The sequence below is a fragment of the Homo sapiens genome, chromosome Y (genome assembly GCF_000001405.40).
Source record: "Homo sapiens chromosome Y, GRCh38.p14 Primary Assembly".
Classification (NCBI taxonomy): Eukaryota; Metazoa; Chordata; class Mammalia; order Primates; family Hominidae; genus Homo; species Homo sapiens.
The window spans coordinates 6,983,485-7,006,702 of record NC_000024.10 but is presented as its reverse complement, the minus strand read 5'-3'; the positions used below and the strand labels follow the sequence as shown (position 1 = coordinate 7,006,702).

General features: G+C 44.3%; 1 protein-coding gene across 3 annotated transcripts in view; it reads right to left on the bottom strand.

Moving 5' to 3' along the window:
- The window catches only part of TBL1Y (transducin beta like 1 Y-linked), a 180,987-nt gene that overhangs the window by 84,981 nt on the left and 72,788 nt on the right, over positions 1 to 23,218 (bottom strand). For 2 of the 3 annotated variants that reach the window (NM_033284.2, NM_134258.2), the window contains one exon: positions 10,805 to 10,899. The exons of the other annotated variant lie outside the window; for it this stretch is intronic. The gene's annotated coding sequence lies outside the window, so the exon portion shown is untranslated. The remainder of the gene's footprint in view (positions 1 to 10,804; positions 10,900 to 23,218) is intronic. 3 annotated transcript variants of the gene reach the window in all.

Genomic DNA, 23,218 nt, shown 5'->3' with positions numbered 1-23,218 from the left:
GTTGTGAGAATTTTCTCCCATTTTGTAGGTTGCCTGTTCACTCTAATGGTAGTTTCTTTTGCTGTGCAGAAGCTCTTTAGTTTAATTAGATCCCATTTGTCAATTTTGGCTTTTGTTGCCATTGCTTTTGGTGTTTCAGACATGAAGTCCTTGCCCATGCTTATGTCCTGAATGGATAGCCTCAGTTTTCTTCCAGGGTTTTTATGGTTTCAGGTCTAACATGTAAATCCTTAATCCATCTTGAATTAATTTTTGTATAAGGTGTAAGGAAGGGATCCAGTTTCAGCTTTCCATATATGGCCAGCCAGTTTTCCCAGCACCATTTATTAAATAGGGAATCCTTTCCCCATCGCTTGTTTTTGTCAGGTTTGTCAAAGATCAGATGGTTGTAGATAAGACAATACACAATTCCCAATTTCCTACAAAAACAGTCTTAAAGTTGGCTTCCTAGTTTAAACTTAGCCTGATTTGTAATGTGCCTGTTCAAATTTATCACAGGTCCTAAGATCACTCTCATGAATTCAATAAAATAATAAGTTAAATGTAAATTATATTGGTATGTGCAATAGCATTAGGTAAGTATATTAAGAAGTTCTGGGCTGATATTTCTGCCAACAAATTAAATACCGAACAAAGTGTTGCCCTTAAATGATATGTCGAAGGAGATATTTTTTAAATGCAAGAAGCTAATGGAGGAGACAGATGCTATGTGAATTTAACTTTTAACAAGTCACACCCAGGCTTCAGTGCAGAGAACAGCTCTTTGAAAAAAATAAAATAACATAAAAAATAAATTGAAAATACCCTACACTTAACAAGTGTAAGATCTACACGATTTTATGGAAATATCACAAATTAAAAATAGAAGACTATGCCTCCTAATTGGGTACAAACCTTGTCCAAAAACAGTGTCTGAAAAAAGTAACTAGATTTTGATGATTTTCCTCAGTTTGGTTCTTCTATTATACAGATATTTACCTCTTAGTCAATGAGAATAGGCAGTTCCTTAATAGGCACGATAGGAAGCTACGTTTTGGAATGCAAACAGAGAAGAAAATGTACCTGAAATGGGCAAGATGAAAGACTTGGTTGGAGTTTTTACACTCTCCATGTCCTACTGAAGAAACTCCTCCTGGGGGCTTAAGCAATGGATTGGTGCTTACATGCAAAAAAGTGACAGAAGTAATGTGTAGGACTGTGTGATTAATTAGATGGACAGCTTGATGCATGTACTCAGAGCCATAAGTAAGCTTGTCGGACTTTATTTTTTTTTTGAGACATGATCTCATTCCATTACCCAGGATGAAATGTAGTGGTACTATCTCAGCTCACTGTAGCATTAAACTCTCAAGCTCAACCAATCCTCCCACCTCAGCCTCTTGAGTAGCTGGAACTACAGGCATACACAATCACACCTGGCTAATTTTTTTAAGTGAGTATAGATAGGGTTTCACCATGTTGCCCAGGCTGGTCTTCAACTCCTGAGCTAAAACAATCCTCCCACCTCGACTTCTGAAAGGGCTAGGATTACAGCCATGAAGCCACCATGCCAGCCTCACAGATTTGTTCTTGAAGGGTCACAGCAAATCCTGATACATGGCCATACAACTTCTGTACTATAGAGAACAGGTAACGGGTGTAGCTGTGTTCCAATGAAATCTCAGCTACGTACAGTGAAATCTGAGTTTCACTTAATTTTCATGGATCATGACGTACTATCCCTCAGTTTTTTTCAGCCATCCAAAAATATTAAAAGTATCCTTAGCATACCAACTGTGCATAAGTAGCAAGGGCTAAATCCGGCATGCAGGCTGCAGCAGGTTAACCTTTGCATCAGATCACAGGAGTCACGGTTGGACCCTACTTTTATCACATCTCACAAAGAATTAAACCTTCAGAAAAACAAAATGGCAGGCCATCAAAAAAGTGAAGAGAATTACCATCTGATCCAGCAAGTCCACTTCTAGGTTACACCCAAAGGAACTGGAGACAAGAGACTCAAACAGACACTTCAATGTACACAGCTCCATTATTCACAATAGCCAAAAAGTGGAAGCAACCCATATGTCTGACAAATTACTCAATCTTTAAAAAGAATGAAATTCTGACAAATGCTACAGTGCATGTGAACCTAAAGGACACTATGCTAACTGAAATAAGCCCAACACAAAAGGACAATTTATGTATGATTACACTTATGTGAAGTCACCATAGTAGTCAGAACTACAGACAGAAAGTAAAATGGTGGTTTCTGGAAGCCATGGAGAGATCAAAATGGTTATGACCGTGAAAATGGGCATCAACCAGTTTGTTTTCAAACTGACAAGCCAAAAATATATAGCATCCGCTTTCTTTTTTTTTTCCTCATAAGCTGGATTCAAACTCTTAACTAAAATAAAAAATGTACAGGACTCAGTTCTTTTCAGATTCAAAAGTGTCATTTTGATGTATTTCCCAGTACAGTCAAGGCATTTCTTACAAACAGTTTCAGAATCGTGATAGTTTCTAGAACCTCTGAATGTTCATCAAATTTAGAAATTCTCAAGCCAGCTTCCATCCCTAAAACAACTGAACTATGCGGCAGCAGAAGGGCACATTTCAGTTCATCAAATCTGTATTAATCCATGTGGTTGGGAAATGAGCTGGGTATTCTTATGTCAAGGTTAACCACAAAACGCATTTTTAAAATTAATACATTATGCTATTATGTAATGTTCAAGACTATGCTGTGGTTGTTAGCAAAAACTTCAAAAGTCCAAGAAAAACAACAGATAATCAGGTCTAATTTAGCTATATGTGTCATTTCTCTCTGCCTCAGATGAAAACTACAGTCAGAAAAAAAGGAGGAGGGATGGAATTTAAGAACACGTCTTAGTCTAAGCCCCATCTCCCTTATTTTAAAAAAGGGGGAGTCAGTGAGAATATGATGGTGATATTAATGCATATTCTCTGCAGAAGTCTCTGGATGGCAAGTTCCCTATATCCTTATCTCCTAAGAGCTTCTGAGTGCCTATGAAAAACACAAGGAGGTATTAAATGACTCTGGAAATAGTTTGGAGACCTTGTTCTAAAAGGCTTCTTCCAGACATTTGAGTGCCCCTGGCTGACTGCACCACTATCTGTCTCCCCAGTGAACACATCCAGTCCCCAGCACTATATCCCAGATGTCTCCAGCCCCTGCCCTCTAGAGCTCCTTACTCATCCCTGCATGGCCTGCATGACTTGGCCACTTGGAGGTCCAAGCAGCATCTTAAATGTGGCATGCCTACAGTGGAGATCTCCACCCTCCCATCCACAGCATCTCGTTCCTTTTCTAGCCCGTGGTCTCCATAAGTCACATCTCCACAGTCACATGCCACACCTTCACTCCCCTAGCCAGGACATATGTCCAATGATATTTGGTGCTGAAGGATGTCCTGAATCTGTCTTCTTCCCTTCTTGGCTCCACTGAGCTATGCTAATGGAAGGTGAAGTTATCTCCCTGCCTGGGACAAAATTGGAGTGATCACAGTCCATCCCGCATCTGGCATCCAGCCACTGATTAGTGTGGTAGGAAGCTGCTGGGTGGCTTCTAGTCCACACTCTCTGTCTTAGTATTATTGAAGTAGGAAATTAAGAAAACAACAGAATAGTAGCATAAGTAGTAATAGTAAAGATTATAGTAATCGTAACCAAAATAATAATAACAGCTCATAGACTGAATTGCTGTATTAATCAAGGCTAAAAAGAATTTAAGTAGCTCCCGAGAAGTTAAAGTTAAAGGAGAATATTAACTGCCTGTCCCAAGAAACATTAACCATATCTACTCTCCTCATATTTCACAGGCTCTGTAAACTCCTGTTTCTTTCTTCCCTGCAAAGATGCAAAGTCACAAGGCAGATAAGCATAAGCTGCAAACGAAGATATCCCAGAGATGTAAGATATGTTGCAAAAGTGTCACAGCAGCCTTTCTTCTCACTTCTGTAAGCCTGCTTCCTGCTTCACACAGTGCCTGCCTCAAGATACTTAAAGGGAACTCATTTTCTTTGTTCTGGGCTCAGACTTTCAGGACACATGTCCACAAAGCTAGTGTACACCTCAAATAAACACTTTCCTGCACTCCACTCGGTCTCTCTGGTTCCTTAATTTCCCACATTACGGCCTACAAGGCACTGCAGGGTCTGCTCACCACATCCACCTCTCACCTCAGCTCCCTGTTGGTCACTTACTCCACCATGCTGGCCTGGCTTCTGTCTTTTCCCTCAGGCGCCTGGGTACCTGGTCTTTGCATGTGCTGGCCTCTTCACCTGAAACTCTCTTCTCCTGGCTCTTCCAGCCACATCCTACAGACCTCAGTTCATCTGTCTCTTCCTCATAGAGGCCTTCTTACATCTAATGTGGAATCTCCTCCAACCCATGTTACACTGTTCATCTCTATCACAGGATGTGTTACTGTCATCAAAGTATTTTGTTTCTTTGTTTCTCTGTTTGGTACCAGTGTCCCAAATACCAGGCAAGCTCCATGAGGGCATGGGCCTCTGCAGCCATGACACTTAGCTTGGAGTGTGCATGACTTAGGAAAGAAACTTAAAAAACAGTTTGGTAAGTATGAGTTCCTGGATAAATATACTAACTTAAGAAAGTTCAGAGCCGGTAGTGGATGCCATAACTCCCTGGAACACTGCATTTTCCTTCTTGAGGACTCATACGATATTTCTGGTCTTGTTGAGTTTTTATAATGAGCGTGAACACTAACCATAAAGTGGATGGAGAAGTAGAAGCCACATGGTACCATATCCCTGCCAACATACATGGGTAGAGTAGATGGGCTTGCAGCGAGAGCTATTGTCCCCATTTTGTCTACATTTAAGGGATGAGTAGCATCATAATGTAGACTTTACAACTGAGTTATTCTGACACACATGCTATTACTAGACTTCACACATTACTGGAAGGTCTAACGATAAAAAGATATATCTTTTATTTTTCCCCTTGATCAATGTGAAACAAATTAAAAACCTCCAGTCATTCTAGTTGAATACTACACTTATCTAGGAAACAAAAAGTGGTTTTCTGTGTTTGAAGTTTTTTTTTGTTTTTTTTTTGAGACGGAGTCTCGCTGTGTTGCCCAGGCAGGAGTACAGTAATGCAATCTCAGCTCACTGCAAGCTCCGCCTCCCGGGTTCACGCCATTCTCCTGCCTCAGCCTCCTGAGTAGCTGGGACTACAGGCGCCTGCCACCATGCCCAGCTAATTTTTTGTATTTTTAGTAGAGATGGGGTTTCACCGTATTACTCAGTATGGTCTCAATCTCCTGACCTCGTGATCTACCCGCCTCGGCATCCCAAAGTGCTAGGATTGCAGGTGTGAGCCACCGTGCCTGGCCTGAAGTTATTTTTAACAGACTCAGTTATTGCAAGTTCTGTGAGATACCTGATCAAGGTCCAGGTGAATGTCTGTGGGCCTCAGAAGTCCCAGGCGATTGACAAGTGGCTCACATAGCTAGCCAATGGCCTCACACCTCGGTGCCCTCTCTATCTCTCAATTTGGGGGCTACTGACACGCTGGGCTGCATGGGGGGTTACAAGCTCACAGGGTTCCCCACAGAGGATCCAGGCAAGGACCCTGCCTGGCTGAGGTTCCCTCACTTATAAAATGGGGATGACCATGCCAACACCTGGGCCACCCTCCCTAACAGACTGTCCTGAAGGACATAGGCAATGGTGCTACTGATGGGCTTTGTGGGCAACAGCACAGCGCCACTCAAATCCCAGAGTGCTGCTAATTAAGACCAGGTGACCCCAAACAAAATGCCTGAGCCAGAGACTGCGTGTGACGGCTCATGTCTGTAATCTAAGCAGTTTGGGAGGCTGAGGTGGGCGCGACACTTGAGGTCAGGAGTTTGAGACCAGCCTGGCCAACATGGTGAAACCCCATCTCTACTGAAAATACAAAAATTAGCCAGGTGTGGTAGTGGGCATCTGTAATCCCAGCTACTCAGGAGGCGGAGGCAGGAGACTCACTTGAACCTGGACGGCAGAGGCCGCAGTAAGCTGAGATCGTGCCACTGCACTCCAGCCTGGGTGACAGAGTGAGACTCAGCCTCATAAATAAATAGCCTGAACCAGGTTTAGTCTTAGTTGCTGCTATTATTATTGTTATAATCAATCCTGTTTTAGACATGACTTCCTGACCCTTAAATTTTCAGCTGTCACTTTAAGATTTAATTAAGTCCTGCCCCTTACAAGAATTGGGGAATCAGCACTGGGGAATCTATGCCTACAGATGCTTGGGCAAACAGCATTGGGTGACTGCATGCATCTAATCAATGATGACAGATCGAATTCGACTGTCCTTGTTTTAGCAAGTGGAATATTAGTGGCCACATTAGGTTCTGCTTGGACTAATTAAAAACCACCCATAAGACAGGTCGGCTTTAAGAAGCCATTATTTTATAGGATGCAAATGATGCTGCACAAAGATAGAGTGCTTTCCTTGTATGTTTATCTTGGTGAGAGAGTATTAGTTCTGTTTGCCCACAACTGAAACTGGCAATGTGTGGGCACACACATGCCCCATGATACTGAGTTCAGAGTGAAAGTCATCTATGTGGAACCACCTTCTGAAAGAAACTTAGCAAGAAGAATGGCTACTTCTCTATTCACAGTTTCTGTACACAGTGCACATTGTAGCATGAAGAAGACTCCTATTCTGTAGGAGAAAATACTGAGAAAAAAAATGGAATCTTGAGCCCTGAAAGGAACCCAGTGTTAAAGAAATATGGCCATTTCTCCAAGGATTTTCTCAGTCGATTGAATTGGCCAGGAAAATGATTCATGAAGGGAGGCAGGGAGAAAAGACGATGGCAGTAAGGAAGAAAAGGAAGGGAGGAGAGAAGACGGGGGAGAGGAGAGGAGGGGAAGGGAGGGGAGGGGAGGGGGTAAGAAAGGAAGGAAAGAAGGGAAGGAGGGAGGAAGAGAAGAAGGGAAGGAAAGGCTTGAATAAGTAGATGCTATTTGTGAGTGATGAGGAAAGAAAAACACAGAGTCAGAGAGAGAAGAAAAGGAAAAAAAAAAAAAAAAAACAAATGAAAGCCATCCTCTTTCATATTCTACTTCTATTTTCAACTATTTCCTGCCTTGGGAAATTTTGGTTGCCCATCTCAGGTAGGCTTGGAAAGCAGGGAAGGTGAGAACTCTCCAGGGAAAAATTAAAGCCGGAAGTGGGGCTGCCATCTAAGCCTCAGGTCTCAGAGCCACGGTCATGTCACTGTGAAGACAAAAACATGCTGGTACCACCAAGCTGCATGCCAAAGCAAAGCTCTGCCTTGTTTCCAGGTAACAGAAGTGCCTAGGTGACGTGGTGCCAAAACCAACACTGCCTCATCCCACCTTCAGCTCTCCACTAGAGGAAGCCACCTCCTCACTGGACATCTGCCGTGTCTAGAACATGTAAGGGCTACAAGCGAATCTCAAAGATTCCCTCCCAACTCTAAAATCTTAGGAACCTGCAATATGTCCACTAAGGCAGGCTGAGTGTCCAGAACTTGCTCTCAGGAGGCTCATTTGTTCAAATCTCATGGGCCTCAAATCACTGTTGAGAAAATTGTTTGCCCTTAGTACTGTGCTCTGTCCTCATGGCCTTGTCTTCTGGGACCAGTGCCTTGGACCCATAGGTATTCAATAAACATCTGCCCAATGAACAAATGGATGAATGATCTTAGTGCTGTGAGAGCCAAGACCAACAAAGGGACTGACATCATGAGTAAAAGGGAAAATGTAAACTTTGTGAACGTGTTTGGAGAAAAATATTCTCATTAACTTTTTAAGTTAATTGTGCACAAAGGACTGTAAAGAAGGTTATTCAATTGTTTCGTTCTTTTGAAAGGGAAATGCCAACATTTCCTACATGTCTTGAGGCAGAAGGAGCACAGAGATGCAGCAGTGGTTGTGAAATTACCTAGAAGATTAATACTAATTTATGGTGTAGGTGGGAACTGAGGAGGTTCGACCATTAGGGGCTCAGTAACTGTATGGATTTGATTGGAGGCAAAACTATTTTTCTGTGCAAGAATACAATTAAGAGTAAAAAATAGGTATGTGATTCATTCATTCATTCATTTTTTTTTTTTTAATTTTTGGGATAGTCTTGCTCTGTCATCCAGGCTGGAATGCACCGATGTGATCATGACTCACTGAAGCCTCAAGTGATCCTCCCAACTCAGCCTCCTTAGTTCCAGGAATTACAGCAATACACTATCACGCCTGGCTAATTTCTATTTTTTTGTAGAGACAGAGTCTCAATATATTGCCCAGGTTAGAGAAATAATACTTTCTAATGAACTGACTGCTAAGTTGTTAAAGGAGAGTCTCCATTTGTGGGCTCTGATGGCTCCAAAGAGAGGGCATGAATGTGGCTAAATCAACAACTACTTTTCCTAGCATTTTCTGATGGATGACTACGGACTCAACAGGAGCTATTCTCTAACCAAGGTCCCAATTTATGCATGCAAAAGATAAACAGGAACGCGATAGGCAGCTTCTCAAATGGCACACATGAGCTCCGGCTTTTGGCATTTACATTCCAGTACCGGCCTGTGCCATATTTATCAGGTTGGTCCCTGAGACGAACGGAATTGCTGCACATGATGCTGCATCACTTCTGCTGCTGTGACACCCTTACTGAGCTTAGAATTGATCCTCTAGCCCCACACGAGGTCTCAGAGGCTGCAGCACAGGCTGCAACCTTGTGACAGACCCTGAGCCAGAACCACTTGGCTAAGCTGTACCTGGATTCCTGATTCTCAGAACATGTGTGAGATCATCAGTGTTTGTAGTTTTCACCTGCTGAGTTTGGGGTTATTTGTTACACAGCAATCAATAGATAACTGATACAGGGGCTGAAACTGGAGTACACTGGTAGAAATGAGAACACATGTCACAGAAACTAACCCAATGCATTTGCTCCCCATCCAAGCCAATAATTGTTTGAGTTGTCTGCCTTCATGCAAGCATGCTAACAAAAGCCCTATTGAACAGACTGCCACCATAAGGTAGTCTTTAGTTAAATTTTAGTCTAGTGGGTTAATAATTTACCTTCCAGATTCATGCAGCCATAGAAACCAGACTGATTTTTTTTCTAAATCTCCAGAGAATAATTTGTTCTGCTCACCTAAGCATTTACATGTCTAAATGGAATAAATGACATTTTTTCTTAGAAGAAAAGCCCCTGCCTAAAGTTCTTGACTTACAATGAGGTAAATCCTAACCTTCTCCGATTTATTTTAGCAAATTCCTTTTTTTTTTGGTGATCGCGTCTTGCTCTGTCACCCAGGCTGGAGTGCAGTGGCAAAATCTTGACTCGTTGCAAGGTTCAAGCCTCCCAGGTTCAAGCAATCCTCCTGCCTCAGCCTCCCAAGTAGCTGCGATTACAGGCACCTGCCACCACAACCAGCTAATTACTGTATTTTTAGTAGAAATATGCTTTCACCATGTTGGCCAGGCTGGTCTCAAACTCCTGGCCTCAAGTGATCCACCTGCCCTGGCCTCCCAAAGTGTTGGGATTCTACGTGTGAGCCACCACACCTGGTCTGAAATTCTTGACATAAAAAATGTAAGCAGCTGTTCTATCATATTGTATGAGCACAGAAGAGTAGCTTTACCTGAAAGAAAGACATCCTTTGTGGCTTTAAACTACTGGTATTTACCTTATCTAACAGAATTTAAATTTTTTTCCTCCAAAGTGAAATTCCAGTTTCTGTGTAGTTTGTTTATGAGTGTGACATCGTACCCAGGATGGATGGAACTGACAGATACTCTAAAAGCAGCTGAATCTTCTGTGTGGGTTCCAATGAGAATGTGAAATCATATCCCTACCTTCACAACTGCCACTGGAAGCTGATCCTGCAGGGCCCTGAGTCAGGTCACCTGTTTATCATGTGATGCCACCACCACCAAGAGAGAAAATTCCAGGGTCAAGCCTTCACCTAACACTGAGAATTTTCTTTTTTAAAAGTTTCTGAGATGGAGTTTCCCTCTTGTTGCCCAGGCTGGAGTGCAGTGGTGTGATCTCAGCTCACTGCAACCTCCGCCTCCTGGGTTCAAGTGATTCTCCTGCCTCAGCTTCCCAAGTAGCTGAGACTACAGGCACACACCACAATGCCCAGCTAATTTTGTATTTTTAGTAGAGACGGGGTTTCTCCATGTTGGTCAGGCTGGTTTCGAACTCCTGACCTCAGGTGATACACCTGTCTCGGCCTCCCAAAGCGCTGGGATTACAGGCGTGAGCCACCATGCCCGGCAAGAACTTTCAAATACAGAACTCTTCTTAGCAGACATTTGCTTGGTTTAACATTTCCCTGAAAAAAGCCACAGGTCTTGAAAGATGTTTCACTTGGCACCCAAGACTCTCCCAGGAGAGCATTTCTTTCTAAGAAAACCACACAAGACTCAGTGGAAAAAACCTTTGATTCCAGACACAGAAAATGCAAGGGCAAAACGTCTTCTCTTCCTGACCCTCTGGCCAGAACAGGGCCAGGTTCAGAAGCTCTGCTGGTGGCTGTGACCTCTCAGTTAATGTTTGATGGCTGAATCAGAGAGGATTCCAGGGACACAGGCCAGCAGCGCTCAGCCAACATTCCAAGTGGAACAGCGGCCATGTACACAGCATTCCCCTGTCCCATCACATGGAAAAACAGCCCACGCACACCAAGTGGTTGGTCAATAGCAGGGTCCCAGACCCAAAGCTACCCTGAGCTGCAAACTCAGACATCTACACATCAAAGACATCTCCCTACACCTGTGAACCAGCAAACATGAGAAGTTACCTCTTTAGGGAGAAACAGTTTATGACAATCCACATCAAGTCCTGCTTCATTTCTTCAAAAACTGCCCTTCTGTTAAGAGAACAGCTGGCATTCCCCTGGCAAAAAAAAAAAAAAAAAAAAAGGTGAAATAAAAAGTCTACCCTGAATTAGCCAGGAGTGGTAGCACACGGCTGTAACCCCAACTACTTGGGAGGCTGAGGCAGGAGAATCACTTGAACCTGGGAGGCAGAGGTTGCAGTGAACTGAGATTGCACTACTGCACTCCAGCCTGGGCAACAAGAGCGAAACACCGTCTCAAAATTAAAAAAAATAAATTTTAAGTCTACCCAGTTAATTTCTACTTCTGCATCTGGCTTTTGACCTTGCTGCTAAACAGGCTTCTGTTTATCAGGACCCATGATTCTATATTGCCCTTTCACACAACACTACCCTCAGAGTACTGCCTTGTTACATATTCATTTTACTCAGCACAAAGAATTCCTTCAGCCACCCTGCCAAAGTGTCTAATGGCCAGTGGGCCTGGGTCATGTATGGTCACGTAACCAGCTTGAAGTACACCAGGGGAATTGGCAGAAGGGTGGTATGGGATGGGGTGGGACATAACTACTGTAATGGGGTGACCTGGGTCCACAAAAATGACATGCTGGAGTCCTAATCTGCAGCACCTCAGAACCTCATTTGCAAAAAGGATCACTGGAGATGCAGTAAGTTAAAGTAAGAGGAGGACACACTGCAGCAGGGTAGGACCATAATCTACCATGACTGGTATCCTTGCAAGAAGACAGAGACACTCAGGGAGGTCACATGCCCACCGAGGCCAGAGATGGCCCACAAGCCAAGGACCACCAGCAACACCAGGAGCTGCAAGAGCATGCAGGAAGGATTTTCCTTGGATCTTCCTCGGCCCTGCATTGATTCTTCATTTCTGGTCTCCAAAACTGGGAGACCATACATGTATTAGGCCATCCAGTTGGTGGCAACGTTGCTATAGCAGCCCAACACAGTAAGCTTGAACCCTACTCTTCCAAGGAAACTGCAGGTAGGAAAAGATCCCTCTGCTGAGCTCTGGCTCTGGGTGTCAACCTCTGCAGTCCCCTCCAGATGGTTACCAGGCTCAGCCCGGGTCCAGCATGTCCCCACTGTCTCCCTCCATGTGCTGTGAGAGTGTACAAGATCCAAACTCATGGACTTGATATTTTAGTGATGAAAAACTATTGTCCACAAATTCACACATATAAAAAAGCACATTTGTATATGCAACAGTTATCTATACACATGAGCATACATGCATTTACAGATCTTTTAAAAGAGTACAATTGTTATTGTGTATGAAATCACTAGGTAATTATTCTAAAACAAATAATTCTAAAAAAAGGTGGTGAGTGGGTTTCACATCAATAAAACAGATCCTGGAACAACAGTTTAGCCGGGACCCGAGGAGCCTGTGGCACCAAACCACAGAACGCATGTGAAAACATTACTATAATGAGCTCTTTCTCCATTCGCATTAATGACTCCTCCTGAATAATTAATTAAAAATTGTGTCGTGGCTTATTTTAAAGGAGAAAGATATACTTCAGGGAAGCCTGAATCCGAGAGCCAGCCATTCACCTGCTTTGAGGCTCACCTTCCAGATGTCTGAAAAGTAAACAAATCTTCCTTTACTTGGAGACTTCTCCAATATATCATTCAATGATTTATGCACTGGGGCTTCTCATTCACAGTGACTGCTCCCAGGTGGATGAAGACAAGCATTTCAATATTTAATCAAGAACTCAGTTTGATTTTTTAGGAATTCTACATTCTATCGCTATTATAAAATATAAGATACTTAAAATCATTGAGACTTTCCTTACATTTCCAAAAGGGAGAAAACTCAGTCCATCATCATTTATTAAGACAGCATATATAGCATAAGAAGTAAAATTTAATGTATTTGTATATGGTCAAAAGATAGAGAAATTTTAGACAATGCTAACCAATACTCATCATCCATTTAGTGTGAGAAAATCACCTGTTCACTTTACCTAATTAAGCAATGGCCATTTAAATACGTACATTAACATTCAACTTCAAGCTACTCCAAGCAGAAGAACCCTGCAGCCAGGACCAGCCACTGTTGTTGATCTGATTTTCATGTTTCCTAATTCATAACCTCCCATGACAAAGCCTTCTGAGCCTCCATCTCAGAATCAAGAAGGGCTTCTCTGGAAGTCATGATCTTCAGCAAACTAACACAAGAACAGAAAAACAAACACTGCATGTTCTCACTCATAAGTAGGAGCTGAAGAATGAGAACACACAGACACAGGGAGGGTAACATCACACATTGGGGGCTGGTGTAGGGGTGTGGGGGGAGGGAGAGCATCAGGACAAATAGCTATTGCATGCTGGGCTTAATACCTAGGTGATGGGTTGATAGATGCAGCAAATGACCATGGCACACATTTACCTATGTAAAAAGCCTGAATGTCCTGCACATCTTGGGACTTAAAATAAAATTAAGTTAAATTTTTTTTTTTTAAAAAAGAAGGGCTTCTAAGGGATGCAAGGTGTGGGTGAAAATTATTCAGCATAGTCAAGAAACCAGACAACTGGTGGCAACCTAAGCTGAAATGCAGATATTCCCTATCTACAAAAAGAAAGAAAGAAAGAAAGAAAGAAAGAAAGAAAGAAAGAAAGAAAGAAAGAAAGAAAGAAAGAAAGAAAAGGAACTTGGAGGACACAGCCAGGATTTCTACCTAGTCATCATTCATTTTACGTTTCATAACCTTGATGTCACATAACTGAAGTTTAATGGTAACGTGAGCCATTGTAGACAGTTCTATATATGACAGCTGTACACAGTATAGAGTATCACTGTGCTCCTAATCTCCTCTCAAAAAGACAGCAATTGGATGAAATAATGAGAAAAGGAAGAAAAAATCATGTTGCAATTATGCCTTTGAGTTTTCATAAACAGAAATTGTCAATATTTCTATCTAAAATAAAGACACGGTCCCAGGCCAAGTTGCAATTCCAAGGAACTCATTTACTGGGATTCCTTCCTGCCCATCTGCGGGCCAGAGGGATGGAAAAGAGCGAAGAGCAGAATAAAAGAGTCAGGGGATGTCCCAGAAATGTAAAATGAGAGGCGCTAACTCCAGGCTAGTCACCACTACCAAGGAAATCCATCTGCTTTTGTGTGCCTCTGTTTCTCTCTCCTTTTCACTGCAATGACCGTGCCCTGCTGAGAGAGACCCTCCTCCACCAAGTGCACCCTGGCAGCTTTTCCTAATCTGGCAGCAATGTTTATGGGGAGAAAGCAGAACCTTTCAATTGATGGTGTTACGGGTTCAAGAGTGCTCCTCCCAAGGGGTATACTGAAATCCTAATACCTGGCTCCTGAGAGTGAATCCTTATTGGGAAATAGGGTCTTTGCAGATGTAAACTGGTTAAGATAGGTCTGATCTAAGATAGGCTTAGGTCAGAGCTCTAAGCCAATATGACTGGTGTCCTTATACAAAGGGAAATTTGGACACAGAGGTGCACACAGGAAGAAGGCCATGTGGAAATGAAGGCAGAGATATGCATCATGCAGCTACAAGCCAAGGGACACCAAAGCCTGCCAGCAACCACCAGAAGCTAGGAGACAGGCACGGAACAGATCTTGCCTCATAGCCCTCAGGAGGGCTGCTTCCTAATACTTTGATTTTGGACTTCTCTTTTAGCCTTAGAGGAACTTTGTTATGGCAGCCAGAGCAAACTTACGCACATGGCTTGGGCTTCCTCTTTCTTCACTGACCAGAAACAGCATGAGCTATTTATCAAACCCATCCAGATCTGACCAGACTTGGACATCGTCCAGTGCCACTTGGGCAGAGAGAGGTGATGCCCAGTGTGGCATACACCTGGACCAGGCAGAAGTACAGGCTCTGCATGGACTAGGCAGACATATGGGCTCTGGCATCTTAAGAAGACATTCCCCAAGGTTTCAGAGGTCAGATTTTTTTCTTTTCTGGGTAACGAGAAAACTAGCTGAAGCACAATATTCTTTCCCTTCTCCATTTCTGTAAGTTGAGGCATTGCCATGCTGGCTGCATTTCATGGACCGAAATATATGTAAAAGACTAGTAACACTGGGTGAGTTTCATAGGCCCACCAAAACAAAGTACCACAAGTGGGGTGGCTTAACCAACACTTACTCTCTCACAGTTCTGGAATACAGAATTCAGAGATCAACGCACTGGTAGGGTTAGTTCCTTCTAAAGGTGGTGAGGGAGAATCAGTTCTGTCTCCTTGGCTTGGAGGTGGCTGTTCACATGGCCTTTTCCCTGTATGAGCGTGTCCAAATTTTCTCCTTTTCTAAGGATGCCACTCACCCTCCCTTTAAGTTGGTTAAGATCCCACCTCCAAATAAGCTCACAGTCCAAGATCCAAAAGGTTGGGATGTATTTAAATACATCTCCGTTGAAGTGGACCCAACTCAGCCCATTAACAAACAAGGACAGTGACTAATGCATGAAACCCAATCAGGGGCCATCCTTAACAATACTGGAGCCAGGGTTATGGGCTGTCTCATCCCTGCTTTCTTGGGCACACATGTCAGTAGAACATCAGAGCTCACATCTAAGAAGAATATCCTTGCACCACCAGGAGTGAGCCATGCTGATGGTTGTCTGGCAGCACTGTTCCTAAAGGACAAACTTGGCTCAAAGACTTCTGGGTATAAATATTTCCCATAAATTTGGAGTATTTCATGCATTATTTCTTTTCAAAAGCACTCTGTCAGTGTCTGTAGCTTTTGGCATTTAGAATCCAGTCTGGCCACTGAGCAGCTGGAAATGCATGTGGGCCAAAGGACTGTGAAGAAGTGGGCTTTCATTGCCATTCCCAATTAATGCCACCAGGAGGAAAAGTGCTCACAGCATTTTAGGAAGGAGATGAAAGGCAAAGATTTCTGCAAAGATTTCTGCATGGTCAAAAGGAACTTCAGTGGCAGAGGTGGTGTAGACTTGAGTCTTCTGAAACAGACCACTATACCCACTTTCTAAAATAAAGCAGGCCGGGCGCGGTGTCTCACGCCTGTAATCCCAGCACTTTGGGAGGCTGAGGCAGGTAGATAACGAGGTCAGGAGATCAAGACCATCCTGTCTAACACAGTGAAATCCCGTTTCTACTAAAATACAAAAAATTAGCCAGGCGTGGTGGTGGGCACCTGTAGTCCCAGCTACTCGGGAGGCTGAGGCAGGAGAATGGTGTGAGCCCGGGAGGCGGAGCTTGCAGTGAGCTGAGATCGCGCCACTGCACTCCAGCCTGGGTGACCGCGCAAAACTCCATCTCAAAAAAAAAAAAAAAAAAAAAAAAAGAAATGGCCAGTTCAGTTCCATGATGCCACCCCTGCATCTGTCACAGGTGACCCATTTGTACTGAGCAAGAGTAACATTTATCTTAATGCAGGCGTCTGGTTCTACTCAGTGCTGTTGACAGAGCTCTACTGCCACTTTCTGTCTCCCCACATGCTCCTTTCTCTAGGCTCACGCCTGGCAAAGTTGGTGACACTGACAATGTGTGCTTCTCAATACCAGTGCCACCTTTAAATGGCAGCATTCTGTGTGGGGGGTTACTGTTGGCATTTTAAGATTCTGGGTTGGAAAAATCACTTAAGCCCAATAGCTCAAGGCTGCAGTGAGCAATGATTGCACCACTGCACTCCAGTTTGGGCAACAGAGTAAGACCCTGTCTCCAAGAAGGAAAAAAAATTAAAACTTTCACCTCAGCACTTAACAAGGATGATTTACAAAAGAGGAACAGGAACTTTGTAAATGCTTTCTAATTATCATGGGGTAAAAAAGCAAGCATAAAAGTGATGACAGCACTTCTGTACAGCACGGTCATCCCCACTTCCTCATCAATCTCCCATTAGTGGAACCCATAGCAATGCTGGTAGAAAGGGCATGCATGGTCTAGGGTCAGCTTTCCCTAAATTCAATTTTGGAGAAAGTGCAGAGGCAAAGAGTTTTCTGTTTCTCTCTTAACAATAAAGTTATTAGACCAAAGCATGAAAGATTGCTGCTGTGTGATTCATGACAAGCATCAACTTCATATTTTTACCCTTAATACAAATTAGAGTCGCAGAGGGAAGAAGAGAACACTGCCTGAGAAGCTACACGGAGTCAGACCTGACCTACTGTCCTGCCCTTGGCACTGCCAGGCTGCACGACTGCTCAAGTGCCATCTCTTCACTTATAAAAAGCTGGGTCTGCACTGTCCACATCATATGTTAGGACTGTACCAGCCTTGGGAATAGAAAGCAGGGCTCCTCCACCACGGTGTATCTGGCGCTGGATGATTTCTTTTTATGAGGCTGTCCTGTGCACTGTGAAATGTTGAGCCCCACCTCTACTCATTAGATGCCAGTAATACCCACTGTCACCACAAAAATATGCCTCCAGACACTGTGAGATGTCCCTTGTGGGATGGGAAGGATACAAAGTCACCCACTTTGAGAAGCGCTATTCTAAAGGAATTCGGTATCAGTGTTTTCAGGCATCTAAAATCAAACCCAGGTAAGGCTGGCTCTTACAGAAGCTCACTATGCCTCCTACGAGAACTGCGGAACTCCCCACCCTCATCCATCAAGCCAGACTGTTTATCGGTCTGCTCTGTCCAAGAAGAGTAGCCGCTGGTCACATTTTTGATTTTTTTTTGAAATGGAGTCACCCAGGCTGGAGTGCACTGGCACGATCTCGGCTCACTGCAAGTTCTGCCTCCTGGGTTCATGCCATTCTCCGACCTCAGCCTCCCGAGTAGCTGGGACTACAGGCATCTACCACCATGCCTGGCTAATTTTTTTGTATTTTTAGTAGAGATGGGGTTTCACTGTGTTAGCCATGACGTCGTGATCTCCCTGCCTCAGCCTCCCAAAGTGCTGGGATTACAGGCCACATCTTAAACACATGCAAATTAAGTAACATTCACAATTCTGTTTCTCAGTCACAATGGCCACACTTTTCAAGTGCCCAAGAGCCGAATGTGGGGCCATATTCACAGGGCAGTCCTCTTGAAGGTGCCACTCTTGGTCACCCAAGACATTCCATACACCATGCATGTTTCTCTGAGACATCAGGAAAAGACTAACTGATGGGCAGATTCAAATGAACACTGGGCACATTTAAAAATCAAGGCCTCATAAAATAAGGATAGGTCTTTTTTTTGGTATTTATTTATTTATTTATTTATTTATTTATTTATGTTTTTGAGGCAGGGTCTTGCTCTGTCACCCAGGCTGGAGTGCAGTGGTGCAATCACGACTCACTGAAGGCTCGACTTCCTGGGCTCAACAGATTCTCCCACCTCAGCCTCCCAAGTAGCTGGGATTACAGGCGCGCACCTCCACGCCCAGCTAATTTTTAAATTTTTATGTAGAAACAGGGCCTTACCATGTTGCCCAGGCTGGTCTCAAACTCCTTAGCTCAAATGATTCTCTTACCTCAGCCTCCCAAAGTTCTGGGATTACAGGTGCTAGTCACCAAACCCTGGAGTCTTTTCTGTTTTTTATGTAGTGTTTTTCAAAGATCAAAGAACTAGATTTTCTAAAAACTGACCATCCCATGTTATACAAGCTTATAATTTTAAGAACTGTAATTTTTTTAACAGAAAGTCAAGAAAGGTGTTTATCCCAAGTTTACATGTAATTAATGAAAAAAGTATGAGCCCAAAAAACATGCAAATTGGCTTTAAATTATGGGAAAGTCCACATGGTTGACATGAATTCCAATTATTCATCCAAGCAAGGTATCTGTCACTGTCTTAATGACATGCATCAGCACATTACTCAGGTCAATCCCTCCTGATGGGTGTGGTTCTGAGTTTGTGCTCCCCAGTTGCCCAGGTCCATGCATAAACCTGTTCCTAGAGATTACACTGCCTGCAACAGTCCTGGCATCTACCCAACACATGCACTGCTTGGGAGAAAGCCTACCACTAGCCACCTCCACCCCAACACACACACAGGGCTGCAAGAACAATAAATGAGGGCTTCGAGCAGCATCTGATCTGCACCAAAACCTCTCCCCAGGTGTTTACAGCCTCAAACTGGAAACAACCCAAACACCCTTCCATGAGAAAATGGAGAAATCGACCTGGGTACGTCCATGCCATGAAAAGCCACTCAGAAAGAAAAAGGATCGAGCTATCGATCTGCATAACTGGGATGGATCTCACACATCAGGATGAGTGGATGAAGGCAGTCTGAAGACCATATGCTGTATGATTCCATTTACCTAACACGCTTGAAATGACAATATTGGCTGGGTACGGTGGCTCACACCTGTCCTCTTAGAAGTTTGGGAGGCTGAAGCAGGCAGATCACCTGAGGTCAGGAGTTCAAGACCAGCCTGACCAGCCTGGCCAACATGGCAAGACCCTGTTTGTACTAAAAATACAGAAATTAACAGGTGTGGTGGTGGGCGCCTCTAATCCCAGCTACTAGGGAGGCTGAGGCAGGAAAATTCTAGAGCCCAGGAGGCAGAGGTTGCAGTGAGCTGATATCATGCCACTGAACTCCAGCCTGGGCAACAGAGGAAGAACTCCATCTCAAAGAGAAAAAAAAAAAAAAAGAAATGACAAAATTACAGAGGTAGACAATACAGTGGCTGCGAACAGTTAGAGGAGTGGCATAAGGAAGTTTCCCTGTAGTTACGGAATAGTTCTGCACCTGGATTATGGTGGCGGGTGTATGAATCTATACGTGTTGTCAATTCCACATAACTTAGACAAATGGTCCCCGACTTACAATGACCTGACTTAGCATTTTTCAACTTTAAGATGGTGCAAAAGTCACACTCATTCAGCAAAAACCATACCTCAAGTACCCATGCAACCATACTGGTTCTGACTTTCAGTACAGTAGTATTCAATGTATTTTATGAGATAACACTATAAAGTGGGCTTTGTGTTGGATGATTTCGCCCAACTGTGGGCAAATGTAAGTGTTCAGAACGAGTTTAAGGTAGGGTATGATGTTTGGTAGGTGAGGTGTATTGAATGCATTTTTGACTTTAGTACTTTCAAATTATGATGGGTTTATCAGGACATATTCAAAAGACGTTCATTCCAGAAATAGAAGATTTTTCACTGAAAGTGGTCTGAAAGGATGCTCTTAATTCAAAGAGCTCCAGGTGTCATTGTAAAGTGGGTAAAAAAAAAAAACCCACCGAGATGTCAACTTCTAGGACCCATCCTATGGACGTCAGGATTCTCTCTACTCAGACTGGCGGCCACACAGACACTAGACTGAAGAAAGATGCCTCCGCAGAGGCCTGCTCACAAGCCATGCTACATCAGATGCTGCCAAAACAACCTGGTTCTGCTCTGTTTGGTTTTGTTTCAGAGACAGGGTTTGGCTTTGATGCCCAGGCTAGAGTACAATGGTGTGATCAGAGCTCACTTCACCCTTGAACGAGCAAACTTAAGCAATCCTCCCCACTCAGCCTCCCAAGTAGCTGGGACTACAGGCAGACCCCACCATACCTGGCTCATTTTTAAATTTTTGGTAGAGATGAGGTGGGGAGTCTCACTATGTTGAGCTGGTCTTGAACTCCTGGCCTCAAGTGATGCTCCCACCTCAGCCTCCCAAAGTGTTGGGATTAGAGGCATGAGCTACAGCACCTGGCTGGAGTTTGCTTTAAATGGGGGGTTGGGGTGGAGCTCTCTGAAGAGGGAGTTCTTGGATGGGGTGAGAGAGACCAGGCTGCAGACGAAACAAGTGCAAATATCCTGTGGTAAGAATGAACTGGGCCCAAGGGTGGAAGACCAGTGGGCATGACGACAGAAGCAGGGGGTGGCAGATCCCAAGCACAGAAGATTTTGCAGCCCGTGGAAAGGAGTTAGGTCCTACACACACCCCGCACCCTATAACCTCTTCCTCACCCATCATCAGGCTTAACTTAAAAAGGAAATCTGACCATTTTTCTGCTTAAAACTCCCACAAGAGCTTCCTGTCACATCTAGAACAAAACCCAGTGAAGCTTTGCTCAGAAGAGAAATGATGCTGGCTGGCTAGCAGTGGAGATGAGAGGAACAGGAATCTACAGGATCCTAAGGTGTTTGATGAAACTGAGGGACCCATGAAGGGGGCACCAAGGAGAACTCCTAGGTTTGGGGATAGAAAAAGACAACTCACAGCGTGTTGCCACCCCTGGGATGCAGGAAGGCTGAAGAGACTCCTGTGTGGCTACTGACTTTGAAATGTCCATTCCGTCTCCAAGTGGGGTGTCATCTAGGTAAATATACAAATCTGGTTCACAGATACGGAGGCAAGTCTGTGGGTGTTCGTATAAGCACCATCTGAAAGTTATGGGCCCGTGCATGAGCATACAATGCAGGCTTCTCAGCATCGACACTCCTGACATTGCACCACATAGTCCTCTGTGGTGGCCCGTCCTGTGCACTGGAGGAGGTAAGAAGTATCCCAGGGCTTCACCCACCGAATGTCAGTAGCACCTCCCTCTCCAGCTATCACAGCCAGAAATGTCCCCCAGGCATTTCCAAATGTCCCTGAGATGGCACAATCACTGTTGAGAACCACTGGTCAAAACTGTAAGCCAAGGATAAAACCCTGAGAGGAGGAGGAGCAGCCAGCCAGAGAGAGAAGTGCCCACAAGAAAGGAGGAAATTCAGGCTGGCGCCCTGTCCTGCTGCTGGCTGCTGGTGACAAATGTCACAAAATGCTCAAAATGGACAGCATGCTGACCACCAGAGCATGCTGAGATAGAGCAAACTCACGCCCTGGACAAGCATGGAGCCAACCAGAGAGACCTCCAGGGACAGCAATGCATGCAAACCCTACAGTGATGTCAGCTTACAATGAGGAAGCAGAAGTGGAGAGGCATTCTTTTATAATTTTTTTAAGAGACGGAGTCTCACTATGTTGCTGAGCCTGTTCTCAAATTCTTGGGCCCAACGGATCCTTCTGCCTAGACCTCCCAAAGTGCTGGTAAAAGAGGCAAGAGCCACTGGGCCCAGCACAGAGAAGTCATTCTGAAACCACACAGGTGTGTCCACTGCACAGTCTCTCTGTTGGCAGGCCTCAGGTAACAAACCAGACTGAACCCCACAACAGCAGCAAAATATGTGGGTCCTTTGTGAATTTTCTTTGAAGAAAGTCCTGTTTTCATATTTGTGTAACATTGTCCCAGTGGAGGAAACCTACAGGGGGTAGCTGGCACTTGGGTTGGCCTGAGAACTTAGGAGAGGAGGAATAGAAAGAGGTTCGAGTGGTACCAAAGGCAATGGATGGGGTAAGATAGAGGTGCTGAGGTTTCTAAAAATGTGGGGTGATGCTCTCAGTGCTCAGGAAAAAGGATGTGGCCTGGAAGGAGACAGAAGGTGGTCAGAACAGAGTGCCCCATCCAGCCAACAGAAGAAGGGGCCACCTGGGCAAGACGGCCCTGCAGACTGCAGATGGCACTGTCTATACTGAACAACCGACTTGGGTGGGACACCAGCATCCCCTAAGCTGGGGCAGACATTAACCCTCATAGGCTGAACCATCTGGGGTGAGGAGGGTTGATCCCAGGGGAGGGGACAGGACAGTCAGAACATAGGGACCCGTGAAGAAGCAGCTCCGCACCCAACCAGTACAGGCCAATTTCACTCTTCTGGCCACTGCTTTAAGAACAGCCGCAGGGGCAGTGCACGCTGGCTCCACAAGTGCCCTAGTAACAAGAGTTACAAGACCGGGAAGCCAGGGTCTTCCCTGTCAGACATGCTAATGCACCAGCCTACACCCCCCACCCAGTTCTGGGCCATAAGGTAGTGAGGTACAGGGGCAGCTCATAGAAAGATCATGGAAACTACATTTCCTGCCTCTCTTTGCCATTTTCTCTAAGCTTATTAAGGGCATACACCCCTTGCAGAGGATGCTGAGAACTTGTAACGGTGTGAAAATCCTAACAAACTCCCATGATGCATCAGATGCCCTAGCCCTTCCCCATTTTATCTTGCTCCTCCAGCATTACTGGACACACGTGTGATATTTTAAAAGGAAAGCACAAAACAGAAGAACAGAGTTCCAGGCCCCATTGTGCTTCCACTTATTTGTAAGAAACCCTCCCTGGACTAGTTTCCTCGGCTGTGAAATGAAGGTTTTACACTATTTATGAGGTTTCATCCACATCAAAAAGTCTGGGATACCATTTTCCTGTTGATTTCCTGTGTAAATTCTAGAGGAAAACACATAACAAAGAACTTACAAAACAACTCTGGAGGGAAAACGATTTGTCCTGCAGCCAACCGAGCACTGGAATACATATAAAAGGTGCAATATTTTTGCCATAATGATTAATATTTTCAACTCTAGAGAAGTTGTACCATAAAAGCAACATGAGACACCTAAAATACGTTTTTGGAAGCCACGAATCATGACAGAGA